Source organism: Homo sapiens, chromosome 11 (genome assembly GCF_000001405.40).
Source record: "Homo sapiens chromosome 11, GRCh38.p14 Primary Assembly".
Taxonomy (NCBI): domain Eukaryota; kingdom Metazoa; phylum Chordata; class Mammalia; order Primates; family Hominidae; genus Homo; species Homo sapiens.
Window position 1 is genome coordinate 108,836,701 of NC_000011.10, and position 15,518 is coordinate 108,852,218.

Below are 15,518 nucleotides of genomic sequence, written 5' to 3' on the forward strand. Positions count from 1 at the left end.
CTGGTCTCGAACTCCTGACCTCAAGTGATCCATCTGCCTCTGCCTGCCAAAGTGCTGGGATTATAGGTGTGATTCACCACACCCGGCCTTGGTGGTTTATTTTTAAGCATTTATGTATTCATCATTGTTAATATCTCCTTATTAAATGATTTGCTCTTTTTTGTGTGTACTTACTACCATAATGTAACAGTTGTGACCAATGCGCTGCTTCCCAAAGCTTCTGGTAATTATAGATAAATGTTCTAGATTGGTCCCTCCTCTCTTTTCCTTGTGTGATTCCCTATGGTACAGAGTTAAAAATCAATCAACTAGGGAGACTGCAGTCGGGTATTTTGCAAAGTAAGCCTTTATGCAGTTGGCTTGATCTCTCTATGTAGCACAAAATCAATGTATAAAAGTGGTATTTGAGATTTATTGAATACTTTTTCATATGTTTTACATTTACTTTTTAATCCTCCCAATAACTGTATGAGGTAGATACCATTGGTGTCCTCAACTTACAACTAAACCCAGAGGTTAGGTAATGGTAACTAATCTCATATAGCTTATTAGTGATAGAGCTTGTGCTCAAATACATTTTCCTAACTACTACACCAAAGACTTCTTATTCTGTCTAATGGAAGCTGCATTGGGTTAAGTACCACCAATAGTAATACTAGCTGTAATTTGAGGAGGATAATCCAAATCCTCAGACCTGGGTTATGTCTTGTCACTTTCTCATCAAAGCAGGTTATGCTATGACCTCTTCCAACCCCCTATCTCAGGGGGTCTGCTCACCATTCACTTAGCATAAGTAAGCAGTGGCTTTGAATTTTTAGTATCTTGCTGTAGTGGTTTTAGGTTGTGAGCTAGGTCCTAATCAGTACTTCCTGTTAAGTGTTTTCTGCATCTCACCTTTGGATACAGCTTTTTTTTTTTTTTTTTTTTTTTTTTTTTTTTTTTAGGCAAAGCCTTGCTCTGTCCTCAGGCTGAGGTGGAATGGTGTGATCTTCACTCACTGCAGCCTCCACCTCCTGGGTTCAAGCAATTCCCCTGCCTCAGCCTCCTGAGTAGCTGGGATTACAGGCGCCCGCCACCACACCCAGCTAATTTTTTTATTTTTAGTAGAGATGGGGTTTCACCATGTTGGCCAGGCTGGTCTCGAACTCATGACCTCAGGTGATCCACCTGCCTTGGCCTACCAAAGTGTTGGGATTACAGGCGTGAGCCACCATGCTCGGCCTGGACACAGTTTAATTGTCATTGGATATTTTACTGTGTTCCTATGGTAAATTACTATAATTGGAAGAGGAATGTTGCAACGTTGCAAACAATGTATGGCAATCATTTTGCTTTCCAAGTATACATTTTCCTACTCTAAAAACTTAAGTTTGCAACTGCACATTTTAAGATATGTATGAAATTTTGACTGGAAGATAGCTTTATTTATCTTATGCCCATTTATTATATTATGTAATTTTTAGTCCTTAAATATTATCAAATAGCACAGTTCTAGTAATAGAGAAAATGTAAACGTTATTGGTTTACTAGCCCTCCTATTAATGCTTAAACTCTTTTAGGTTTTGGGAGGAGTTCTTAGTTAATAAGTCAAATAATGTTATTCCTGGACAGTGTTTTCAATGCTTCTCATTAGCCAATGAGTAATAAATGTACCCAGTTTTGAGAAGTATATTGCCAGAGTTGGATTGTTAATATAAAGCAACCATTTTCCTAATCATCTGTGTTTTTTGTATGTTCTCACACAGAAGAAAGAACCTTCTAAATCCAGCATCAAGAAAAAAATGACCAAAGTTGCAGAAGCAAAAAAAGTAATGAAGAGAAATTTTAAAGTGAATAAGAAGATAACATTTACTGATGAAGGGGAGGTAAGATTCTAGAAGTGTTTCATTTCTGAGGTGCATTTGGAGTATTAGAAGAGATCGACTCTCTCTTACTTAGCACTCATTAATGATAGAGTAAATGTTTCTCTACAGCATGCTGGGCCATTCCTTTCACTGTTACTGTAGGCTGTACATCAGCTCTACTGCTGTGAACAAGGATGCCTTACTGCCAATAAGCCGAGATACTTCTTGGTAATACTGACACAGAGTTGGTTTTGAACTTTCTAGATTATGTTTTTATAGATAAGGTTTTCTCTTCATGGTATTGAACATTATGTTCTATGGAACAGACATGAGAATGCTAATACATCTACTTGCCACAGCTTCTTTTGCTTCACTCAGAAAAGCTTCTGCTTTGCACTTCCTCAATTTTAAATGCTGTACTTGCATATATCTTGCTGGACTGGCTATGGGAGGGAATTCTCTGCTTTATAAAGTAGTCTCAGACACAGAGGTGCCTTGTTTAAATTCACCTTTCCCTTAGCCGTATTGTAAATACATACCCATAGTATAGGGAAGGGATTACCACTCACAGGTTACTCATGAAAGTTCATGCTATTATGTAACAGTTGTCTTCATTTTAAAATGATGAAATAGATCCAGTATGTCAAGTGACTTACCTAAGGAGTGGTTACAGTAGGTAGGGTCTTTTGAATATCATCTCATGGCCTCATTCTCACCAGCGCAGGTTTTCCTGACTATCCTCATATTAGCACAGAGCACCTTACCTCCATCATAGCCTCATTTCTCTCACCCTGCCTCACTTTTCTTGACAGCACTTACTTTGTGACTTCAGTCTATATTTGACTATTGTCAGTTTCTTCCACTCCACTTCTTCTTGAGAGGAAGGTATTTTGTTGATTTTGTTTACTATTCTGTCCCCAGCACCTAGAAAGGTACCTAACATAATAAGCCCTCACAAAAATTTATTGATTGAATGAAACATCTATTTCAATAAAATAACAGCTTTTCATATTAACTAATGTAGCACATCATATATTTCATCATCATTAACATAAAGACTGCTTAAGCAGCCTCTCCAGTGGAGTATGATTCCTTTTAATTTTGGAGTTAAAGTTTTGGATGTTATTTTGGGATGTATAAATCAGACGAAAAGTCACAAAATCGTGTGCCATTCAAAGGTGGTGGAAGTTGAAGAGGAAGCGTATCTAAATGACAGATAATGAGTCTTTATGAAGTTACGAAAAAGAGGTCAGCACCTGAGAAACAGACTAAACTAGAATAGTCATATGACATCTGATGTTCACTGTAAAATGAGATGAGTGCTGTTGGTGTAATGAGGTTCCTTAGTATGCTACTAAGTTTAACTGCATAAATTATACCAATTAGCTCCAAAATGAATGTAAATCCTCAACTATAAAATGTTTCAATGTGTACTTAGTGCTAATAGGAAATGTTTGTGGCTGTGAGCCATCCTGAAACTTCTGACTTAAAGCTCTGAAAGAAATGCCACTATATATATTTTTCTAGCCCATAGAAGGATAAACTTTTTGCCCTCTGATTGCAGTGGGGATGAGGAGTCCAAGTAACATGATATTCATATTGTTAAAACTGATCCCTCGCATTGCCTCTTTAGGGTCAGTGACTGCTAGCATGGCTGCTCAGTGATATTTATCAACCCCATTGGTTGCTAAAAGTTGAGGCTCCATAGGAATCTCATCTTGAAGAATGGTTATGGTGGCCACAGAGTGAGAGAGGAGACATTAATACCTGCGATGTGTGTGCTTGCAGTTTCCATTTGCTGGCAGGTTAATTAGCAGTCTTTCAAAACAATGGTAGTTATTTAAATCTTTCTGGCAACTAATTATTAGATAAAACAAGAGTTATTGTTGTCTGAATTGTCTATAGAGTTTTGTGGTGTTAGACTTAGAAATTACTGAGTCAAATAAACCTCTGTTTTTCTGGAAGGGACACAGATATCCAGAGATTAATTTATTTCGCATTACATAGTAATGAAAAAGCCAGGACATTTAGACAGGTCCCCTCATTAGCAGATCAGTGCCCCATCTTCTAGGTCACCTTGTTCCTTACCCTAAACTGTATGTGTAAAATATGTGGATTTGAGCAAGCCTGTGAAACCCAAACTGATTTTCTCCTTTTCAGTTAGTTATTTCAGTCATTATGTAATGTTAGTTGGTATGTGATTCATTGATCCATTTTGAGCACCTGTTTAATATGTGCCAGATACTATGTTGGGCTCCAAGGATAAATGAACAAGACATACAACTGCCCTCAAGGAGATTAATTCTAGTAAGAGAAACAGGAACATAAAACAACGCAGTGCAATGAACTTTGTGTGACAGTAACACACTGGGTACCATGGAAGCCCAAAGGAGGTACAGCCTGTGTCCTACTCAGCCCGACTCCTACTGTGTGCAGATAATTTTGAGCTGAGTTGTGTGGAGAATAGGATACTAAGAATGCTGTTTGGAAAGATGCTGGAGCATCTCTATTTTGTGACTGCCTTCTCTTCCAAATTATTTGGTGAAATTTTCTTTTAATCCTGTTCTCATTGGGTATGGCAGTGTTACTTTACTCTGACTAGGGCAGTCTCTTCTATGGCTTGAAGTTGATTAGAAGATTAAATAATACAGATTAGATTGTAAGGCAGAAAATGGGTATCTGCACCTTTTCAGAATCATCAGACAAAATGAAGTGTCTTTCTGGGGTATTCCCTACTTCCTGTTGACACTGACCTTTTTTTTACCTGTAGTTGGTTCAGCAGTGGCCACAAATGCAGAAATCTGCCATCAAGGATGCTGAGGAAGATGATGACACAGGTGGTATCAACTTACATAAAGCAAAGGAAAGACTTCAGGAAGAGGACAAATTTGACAAAGAAGAATATAGGAAAAAAATTAAGGCAAAGCATCGGGTAAGCTTTCCATCTTGAATTCATACTGAGTAAAATTTAGTGTCCCGAAGTATATCTAAATATTCATTAGCTATTCATTAATAAGTGTATTATTTTCTTCATTGTTTTCTCTGACACTTCTTTTTCTGTGGCTACTCTTTTTTCTGTTTATTTGTTCCTTTGCTGGGGGAGTCTGTATATTGACTCGTTTCTGAGAATGCCACTTAAATCTGTCTTTGGTCTGAGGTGATCTAAATAATATTAGTGGATTTGTTGTTATTATTACAGTTTTTATTTTGAGATAATTGTGGTTTCACTTGTAGTTGATAGAGATATCCCAAGCTCTCCATTTCAATAATTTTGTCATTACTGGAATGTTTTATATAAAACTATGCAGTATGTAGCTTTTTGGAATTGGCTTTTTTCACTCAGCATTATTCTATGGAGACAGAGCCAAGTTGTGTGCATCAGTGCTTTGTTCCTTTTATTACTAAGTAATGTCCCATCGTATGGATGTACTGAGGTTTGTTTCACCATTCAACCATTGGAAAAGATTGATGGTGTTTCCAGATTCAACTTAATAAATTTCCATATCAATTACTTGATAATACATTAAATTTATTATATTAAAATTGGAGACTTTGTAAAACTTCTATAAAAATAAGCATGTGCCCTTGTGGTCTTGAACTTGGCAGTTTTCTGTTATCCTTGATATAGTGGTCACACATGATATTGTTATACCATTATACTACTTAATTCCCTAGAAGTGAACATTTCACTAGATAAAAAAATGAATTAATGAAATAAAGCAGATTGACATTTTTTAAAGAACTTTCTTTAGCGTGCTTTTGATACAGTGATTTCAGGGTGACACAGTGAGAAACACCTGAGAAACACTGCTATATAATATTAAATTTTGTATTAAGAACAAAATACCTTTGGATGTGAACATTGTTAAGTACATTCTGAGAAGGATTCTTAGAGCTTTTCACTCCTATTTGACCTTTCATGGACCAGTACACACTTTTTTATAAAAATAGAACAGCAATTCTCATTTCTTTATTTTAATATTTGATGCAGCTTCAGAGTAGCATTTGATGAAAAAGTAGATATTGGAGATAGCTTTAGGGATGGAAAATGAATGTTGAGAAAAGCATTCCAAAAATATGGAGAACAGATGAACCTGAAACGTACTGGTTGTAATTGTTGGATATTTATGTTAATGAGAGAACTAAGCATTTCTTGCATTGCTGCTCTTAGTGCAGCAATTAAATTGAAATTTGATATTAGCAATTTGTTAAAATCTTTAATATTAAGAGTATCAGGAGCTTGTCATGTTTCAGCTTGCAATCTACTTAGAGTATTTATCCAGGGGACAACTGGGCAAGAATGTACTGCATTTCTAAGTTGTAGCCAGCAGTAAAAGAAATATGAAGGATTTACATAAAATAATGTTCACCCTCTTCCCCTTCCTTGCCATCTCTTTTCTCCCATGTGGAAGTTGTTACTATATCCATGTCATTGAATATTGTTCTGGAAACCTTTAGAAAGTTAATTTCAAATTGGCAAATTGTACTTGTTTTATACAGTGTTAATGTTTGCTAGGCTCTGCCATAGGCTGTGAACATAGAATATTTAAAATATGTGGGTGCTGCTGAGTGGGTGCAGTAGTTTGCACCTGTAGTTCTGGCTACTTAAGAGGCTGAGGCAGGAGGATAACTTGAGTCTAGGAACTTGAGGCAGTAGTGTGCTATAACTGCACCTGTGAATAGCCACTCATTAATAAAAGGCAATATAGCAAGATTCTGTCTCTTTAAAAAACAAAAACAAGAAAAAACTAACATATGTACGTGGGTCCCTCCATCTTCAGGAAGATTATAATTAAGTCTTAGTTAACTGGATATGCTGTTACTGCACAAAAGCTGCTTGCACATCCTTTTTTTTTTTTTTTTTACATAAAATGTTTTGGAATGAATAATATATTCACATGGCTCAAAAATCAAGATAAAAAAATTGCACATTGGCTGGGCGCGGTGGCTCACACCTGTAATCCCAGCACTTTGGGAGGCTGAGGTGAGTGGATCACGAGGTCAGGAGTTCAAGACCAGCCTGACCAACATAGTGAAACCCCATCTACTAAAAATACAAAAATTAGCTGTGCATGGTGGCACACACCTGTAATCCCAGCTACTCAGGAGGCTGAGGCAGGAGAATTGCTTGAACCTGGGAGGTGGAGGTTGCAGTGAGCCGAGGTCGTGCCACTGCACTCCAGCCTGGGCAACAGGAGTGAGACTCCATCGAAAAAAAAAAAAATTGCACATTGAGAATTCATGCTTCTGCCTATATCTGTCTGTCTTATTCATACCTACACCCTTATAGCTAACTACTTTTAATTTTAAACATGTCCTTTCACTTTCTTTATGCAGATAGAAATAAATAGGAATACATATTTTTTCTTCTTTTCTTATATGAAAGGTGTATCGTTGTGCACTTTTCCATTTTCGCTTAGCTTTGAGCTTGTAAATGATTTTCTTTGCATCATTATTAGAACACAGCATGTGATTTTTTAGACTGTCTCCATGACTATCTCATAGCAAGGTTGAACAGAACAGTTTTGGGCTGACGAAGTTGTGAGAGAAATCACTTGAACTTTACATATAGCTGGTTTTGAAACCAGTACTTCTGTGACTACAAGAGTCACAGTATTTTTTTTTTTAAAGTGACAACTTTCTATTTTAAGGAAAATAGGTGTATTCTGCACAAGACATACCTTCCAAATAGGATTTTGAAAATCTTACCTGGAAAAAAAGCACAAAGAAACAAAGAAATAATTAGAATAGTTTTCTCTATTCGACTGATATAAATGTTACCTGACACATGATTGATTTTATAGTATTTTCATTGGTAAACACACATATGTATTTGTGTGTATTAGAGAAAACTTTGCAGTCGTGAGTACTGTAGCATTAGCATGTTTACTACAATAGCATACATAAGGCACAAATATGGGCACTCAAATCATTTATGCACCAAGCTGTCATAGAGTGGATTTCTACCCAGGAAATAAGGAATGTTTTCTTAAGTGGCACATCTTCACATGTGGGAAAGTGAAGCAGTGATGTTTGTTGGGAAGAATACTGTGCTGTACTGTGGAATAACCTGTACTTGAGTCCTCAGTGTGGAATTAGTAGGTTGGTGAAAAAGTAATTACAGTTTGTACCCAGTCCAGTTTGGATTACTAGTCACTGACTGGGACTTTGCTTTCCTAATCTGAAAAATTAGGGAGTAGGAGTGGGACTTAGTGCCAGATGTCAGTGAGATCCTCTGGCTCCATAGATCTAGTTAAGACATGGGAATAAAATCATCCTTAACTGTTTGGAAAATAAAATTTTGATTTGTAATTTTTTTCTCCCTGACAAGTCAGGTTGCTTGCTTTACTTGATGAAAAGAGTTTCTTCCTGCCGGGCACGGTGGCTCACGCCTGTAATCCCAGCACTTTGGGAGGCCGAGGTGGGCAGATCACAAGGTCAGGAGATCGAGACCATCCTGGCTAACACAGTGAAACCCCATCTCTACTAAAAAAATACAGAAAAAAAACCAAAATTAGCCAGTCGTGATGGCGGGCGCCTGTAGTCCCAGCTACTCCGGAGGCTGAGGCAGGAGAATGGCATGAACCCGGGAGGCGGAGCTTGCAGTGAGCCGAGATCGCGCCACTGTACTCCAGCCTGGGCGACAGAGCCAGACTCTGTCTCAAAAACAAACAAACAAACAAACAAACAAACAAAGACTTTCTTCTTTACTTATTTCCAGTAACTTTTAAAACTTTACTTTAAAAACTAAATATATTATTAATCCTGCACAAATTACTTTGCTTTAATTAATTGCTTTACTTGAACACATTGTTGGTTTTTGAAGTCACATTTTTTTCCTAACTGAGTATACTACTACTATAATGACAATTCTTAGTTCTTTTAGTGTAGGGTTTTGCCTTGGGCAAATATAATTCTGTTTCCCTTTGAGGCTGTCACTCATAATTTTGTTACTTCTATGAAAGTATATTGAGAAGAACTGTATGTCCCCAAAGAATATTGAAAATACTGACAACAGGGTCTAGGGGAAGCTTTACTTCAGGAAGACAGAAAAAGGTGACGAAACTTTTGACCCAAAGTTGTGAATAAGGGATGTGCCTGAATGAATTTTGCATATGAAAAAAAAACTTCGTAAAACCTATCACATGCTTCTGTATTTGACACATTTCTTTTAATGTATATTAATTGTAAAAGATTTTGTAAGCCTTGGCATTTTTTTTCAGCATGTTCAAAATATTTTATTATATATTTGGTTTAAAGGATAGGATATTTAATATGTAAGTGAATTTAGTCTTAATGATTCTGTTTGGAAGTAGTTGTTTGCTCTTGCGTTTAAAAGTTGACAGCCTTGAATCATAGCTTTGCATGTGCACTCATTCTTAGTATAGTAGGATTCAACTACTCATTTTGTCCTACTTGTTTTTCCCTCATACTATTACACCTGTCTTTGAATCACATTTTTCATCTACCAAGTTCTGAAAGCTATATAATTTCTAATGTGATTCAAGTAAATCTTTGTCTTAAAGATTTAGAAAACTGAATTATAACAATTTTTTACATTTATTGTTTATTTTAAAATTTTATGTTATCTTTAATTGACACATAATAATTGTATGTATGGGGTACAATGAGATATGTCATTACATGTATATGTTGTGCAATAATCAAATCAGGCTAATTAACATAACCATCACTTCAAATATTTATCATTACTTTGTGGTGAGAACATTTAAAATCCATTCTTTTAGCTATTTTGAAGTATATAATACATTATTATTAACATGGTCACCAAGCTGTGCAATAGATCATCAGAACTTATTCCTCCTGTCTGATGGAAACTTTATACACTATAACCAACATCTTCCCTTTGCCCATCTCCCCTGCAAGCCTTCCACCCAGTCCTTTGGTAACCACCATTCTACGCTCTACTTCTGTGAGCTCTTACGAAGTCTGCTTCTATGAACTGGATTCCACAGATAAGTGAGATTGTGTATTATTTACCCCTCTGCCTGGCTTATTTCACTCTGCTAAATGTCTTCTTGTTGCAAATGATGGAATTCTGTATTTTCCTTAAGGCTGAATAGTATTCCATTGTACATATATATGCTACATTTATTTAATCCATTGTTTGTTGATGGGCACTTCAGTTTTTCCACATCTTGACTATTGTGAATAACGTTGCAATAAACATGAGAGTGCAGACATCTATTTGACATACGAATTTCAATTCCCTTATATATAAGAGATCTAAAGGTTCTAACTGGTTTAGAGTACAAACCAGACCAGACCAGACCAGACCAGACCAGACCATATAGTTTAATGGCATCACTGGGAGTAGAACTCAAGCTGCCTGCTTGCCAAAATTCATAGCTGCTACTCTGGACTTCAGGTATCCTTCTGTAACTGCTTTGGATCATTTAGCAGCTTTAGTTGCTCTTCATGAGTTGTCGTTGTAGCCTTTAAGCACCGCTTTCTTATGAGACCACCCCAGCCTTCAGCTTTGTCTGGCACTTATAGGTAGCTGTGCTTAAATAGGTCTGTTATTTTTATTTTCTCTTTAGAACCTCTGGAATCAATCATTGGAAATAAAAATACAGCAAAAGCTGTAACATTTGCATATGAAACCATTAGTAAACTAGTAAACTGTAAAGACAAAATGCCACTCTTACATACAAGCAATGTGTTTTCTAATAATTCAGTCAGAACTGTTGAAAGATAGGCCATGGATCCTATTTTTGAATGATTTTTACTTCAATGGAGTGAAAATCTGCTCTGTGTTGTGTCATCATTCTTAGTTCTGAAAGATGACTTGTACTGAAGGTGATAATATTTGCTATCACAGCTGAGAATAGAGAAAAACAATTCATTATGAAGCTCTTTCATTCCCTTGAAATTCGAGTGCTTTATCTATATCGGATTATGAATTTAGATAACATAAACATGTCAAGATGTGGCTCTGGACTACTTCCAGAGATGGTACAGCATTACTCTAGGTTCCATTTACTACCAGCATGAACATTAGAAAGTTAAGAAAGAATTAAAGGAAGACTTTAGAAAATCTATCTTGTTTTATTGTTGTTGACACATAATTAAGTTGGCATGGAATCCAGATGACTTAACCATAAATTTTTGTGATAGTTAAGAAAGAGGGAAACTGTAATCAGGCATCTGAGGAATAGTAGCCACAAGAATATTAACAAGTAACACTTGCTTAACTGGACCCTGCAGTAAGTTTACATGTATCGTCATATTATATGCTAATAATTAACTTCTGAAATCAGTGAGCTAGCATCATTTTTACAGATTACAAAACTAAGACTTAGAAGGGTCAAGTAATGTGTCCAGAACCCTGCAGCTTGCAAACAGCAGCCCTGGGACTCTTACCCCAAGGTCTTTGTTACTCTTTAAACTTTATGCTTTTTAACTATTCAGCTGTGTTGCTACCTATTTCAAGCCATCAGACGTTCTTTTACAGGAGGGTAACTCTGAAGCAGTGAATTAAAACGTGGAGGATGATCACAAGAGTAAAGGGTTTTGAAGAACAGATGACAAATAATGGAGATTTTTCATGTTTCCAGAACAAGGTCATTGATCTCTAATAAATTAAGAATAAATTAAATGTTGTGGTTAGTAGTATAGTTTAAGACTCCATACTAATACCACTTATTCCTGAATGTTCATTGCATAGCTAGATATGTACATATACTAGTGCCAGAATCCATTTTTCCATAGCTATGGCCATTTAAGAGTCTAAAGTAAGAGCCAGAGACTGGTCTGGCTCACATGGTCCTTAATGAAATTTTACTAAGATCAGAAGTGTCATCTTGAGGACAAGGGACTCAGTATCTGGTGCCTAATTCTGAAATGGATGTTGTGAATGAAGCTTATTTATATGAGAGGATAAAAGATCCTTTTCATGACAACCCTTTTTCCTTCTAGTTTCAGCCCTTCTACTGTCACAACCAGGTTTATTATTAAAATGGAAGCCAACCTGTTGCTATAGAACATTTGCCTATCATTTGGAGATGTCTGCCTGGGGAGGTGTCTGTTCTTACTCTCATGAGCTTATAACATCTAGTGACATTTAGCTCAATATCTTGGTGTTTGGGCTCTCTTTATATCCAGCATCGAAAATGAGACAAGTATTCAGAATTACATAAATCTGATCTATTTTCATGCTTCCTTTTGGGGATTTTTTTAAAAACCATATGGTGTTGGAGAGGTGGGTTGGTTATTAGGTTGATGGTGAGTAGGTAGAGATTGGGGTTGAGGAGCAGGGAGCAGTTTGGTGCCAGTGGAATCAGGGAGTCTGATAGGATTAAGTTATAAACTGCAAAGGGCAATGGTCTATATCTCTTTTGCCCATTATATGTATGCAGAGCCTACCATGTGGCTCGGTAAATATTCAAAGGATTTAACTAGTGAATCAGTGTTTCCACATCAATTTGTTTTTCTCATTCTTTGTATCCTTGTTATAGTTGTTACAGATTTATACATAGAAGTCCACTTTTTAATGTCGTTCAAGCAAAACTCTGTAAAATAGGTAACAGATTGGAGAACCTTGTTGTGTTAAGTTCCTGGGAAGGATTTAGGTTTACTGGAATTTTGTTCTTGGAGGGCAGGGGATATCTTTGGGACTTAACCATTCTCATGATCTTTCTCTTGCTTACTTTTGTTAAGCCAGTTTTCTTTTTTGAAAAATAGGTTATTCTAACACTGAAGTAAAGATGCATGTCCCCTTCTTCCTTATGTGATAGCTGGGGAGTCAATTCCTTACCAAACTGACACAGTTGCCTGAGAATCACGCAAAGGAATATACTTTCATAACCTCCCAAAAATGAGTCTTATTTTCAAATTACAAATTTTCAAGTATCACCCTAGAATGAAAAAGTTTAAATTAGTAGTCATGACTGCTCATGAAATTCATGTTTCATGGTAGTTTCTTTTCTGGAAGCTAAGGACCTATAGTGTGTGAGAATCCAAAAGAAGTATAATATCTATAAAGGTAGTATTTTATACCTTGAAATTTGATTTTCTGTTTTTCTGTCCCTTGTGAATTTGATTTTCATTATTGAATTTCGTGCTCCCCTTATACTTAATCATTTGTAGCATGGCAGAACTAAAGATAACATTTTGCCTTCTTTTTTTGTAGCATAAAATAGTTTTTGGTACCAGTATGTCCTCAAAAATAAAATAGGAAAAATAAAGCATTTAAGGCATTTGAGCCACACCTAATTAAAAGGGGAGGAGGACTTCAATTACTGAATCTAATAAGATTCACTTATACTTTTCTCCTGAAGTAATTGTACTCCAGCCTTTTATCTTTGTTTTGTCATATGTCATAAACCGTCTTTAGAAAATTATTTTTTTCCTACTCCCACAAAGAATATATTCATTTTCTAACTTTTGAATTATGATAAATCTACTTCCAGTTCTTTCGCTTCTGTCTTGATGTTTACTCTTGGCTCTTTTCAGAGTACTAATAAAGCTTTTTCAGATAAGAAAGAAACGTTTTCTAATGATTCACTTCAAATTATTTTCTTTTAGTTTCACTCAGTATTAAAAGTTTGTCATTAGTGCATTTGTTTCATGTCTTGGTAACATTCACTTCATGTTGTAAAAGTCTTTGGATGTCTCTTGTCCGTCTGAAAATTTTGGTAGAAAATTTAAAAGGGAAAATTATCTCATTTGCATGCACATGTAAATTCTGATAGCCAATTTAAAGCTGAAATTTAAAATATCTTTTAATGACTATAATGAATTAATATTGGAATTCAGTAAAAGTAGAAAATTGTCCATTTTTTTCTGCTGTGATTAAAATGACTAAATGGAAAACCCCAGCATGGTTATGTTTGCTTTAGTAGAAAGGATTTTTCTGATGTGAATATGTCGAAGTTATTCTTTGCAACTTTGAAGTGCCATTTTCAGACACTGATGTGTTGGAGGAAGATCAGTTGTTGAATAATTACAACAAAAATTTGCATGGCTTTTAAATATGGTCAATTATCTGTTTCTTCTGCACAGAAGACTGGCAAAATTAATTGAGTAATGTTGTAAAATGCTGTCAGAAAAAAAAATGCTATCAGGATGAAAAGACCTGTATGGTAGCAGATTATAATGATGAAAGAATTGGCAACATTTGTCTAAAACATATTGATACGGATACAAATACTATGTACGAACCTACAAAGTGAAGTCAATGTTCCAGTGGAGGAGTATGAAGTGTAGTGGTGTGCTAGATTTGAGAGAGTGAGGACTTCGGCTCCCCAGGCCCAGTTTAGTCCCAAGTCCATCACTTACTATGTGTGACATCAGGCAAGTTACTTAGTTACTTTGATCTTCCATTTTTCATCTATAGAATGGGAATAGTAATACCTTTATAAGTTCTGTTACATAGATTTAAAAAGATAACCAAATTGTTATATGAAATGCATAGCACATTGTTGATACTTAATAATTCTGAACTACTTCTGTTGGTAAGAAAATAACAGTAATGTGCTAATGGACAAAGAAATTTTTATGAAAGTACAATTTTATTCCTCTCTGTAGTTCCTTGATATATAGCTATAGTCTTAATGTAAGCAACAAAACACTCAAAAGTCATTGTGATCTTCGTAGAATAACATAAAATATAGTTATATTCCATTTTAGTGTCTAACACAGGAAAACTGCATGGGGGGTGGGGTGGAAAGAGAAGGGAGATAAAGCTACAAATACATGTATCCACAAGCTAAAGCCAGCTCAAATGAAGTGTTAGTTATGATCAGTTATATCATATTTTTTCTTTAATCTTGTTTTGCTTCTTTCATATATTTTGTAGTCTGCTAATCCTCAAAATCAGTAATTGGTGCCAACTTAATTTAGGCACAGATTGTTTAGAAACTGCCATCCATTAACTTATTTTTCCCCAAAAGTTGGGGAAGCATTGAGATTATTTTAATTTCGTGGCAGAACGTCTCTTATAATCTCATTAGAGAACCAATTCAGGGATAAAGTTTGATAATCACTATTGCATTAATTGGCTGCTTGCTAAAATAATACTAGTTATTATTTTCTTCTGTTTTTAAAGTCACATCTGTTAATGTTTAACCCCTGAATGTTAACATTTTTATTTTTATTAGAATGTATCGCAAAAAGCACTAGATTTGGCACATGAAGACCCGGGTTTGAGATCAGTCATTTTCTAAAGAAGCTCTTTGATAATAAGCAAGCCAAAAGCTTTCTGAGTTTTTCTTTTTTCTCCTTTCCATTTCCTTCCATTGAACTTGTTTCTAGAAATTCCAAGTAATCTCTAGAATGTGTCTCTTGTATAATTGTACATTATGTTTTACCTGTCCTGTTAGTGTGTGTTTTATTTGAAAGTCAGTACTAACCATTGCATAGCCAGAGTAAGTGATATAGAACTGGGATTTGATTCCAGATCTGTCTGACACATTCTTAATGATTCATGAATACTTGTGCCAATCCCATAGTAGTAGTCAGTAAATATTTGTTGAAAAATGAATGTCATATATTAGTTAGCTTTAGGAAATAAAACTGTAATGAATGTGTAGTCTGTTTTATACCTAATTATATGCTGCTAATTTTTCTCCTCTTCCTTGTCTCCAGGAGAAAAGACTGAAAGAAAGGGAAGCCAGAAGAGAAGCCAACAAGAGACAAGCAAAGGTAAGGGTT

At 35.7% G+C, this 15,518-nt stretch overlaps 1 protein-coding gene across 1 annotated transcript in view; it reads left to right on the forward strand.

Moving 5' to 3' along the window:
• The window catches only part of DDX10 (DEAD-box helicase 10), a 275,859-nt gene that overhangs the window by 171,632 nt on the left and 88,709 nt on the right, over positions 1–15,518 (forward strand). The window contains exons 14-16 of the mRNA NM_004398.4: positions 1,746–1,865; positions 4,615–4,776; positions 15,453–15,509. Of these exons, the coding sequence (NP_004389.2) occupies positions 1,746–1,865; positions 4,615–4,776; positions 15,453–15,509 (339 nt within the window). The remainder of the gene's footprint in view (positions 1–1,745; positions 1,866–4,614; positions 4,777–15,452; positions 15,510–15,518) is intronic.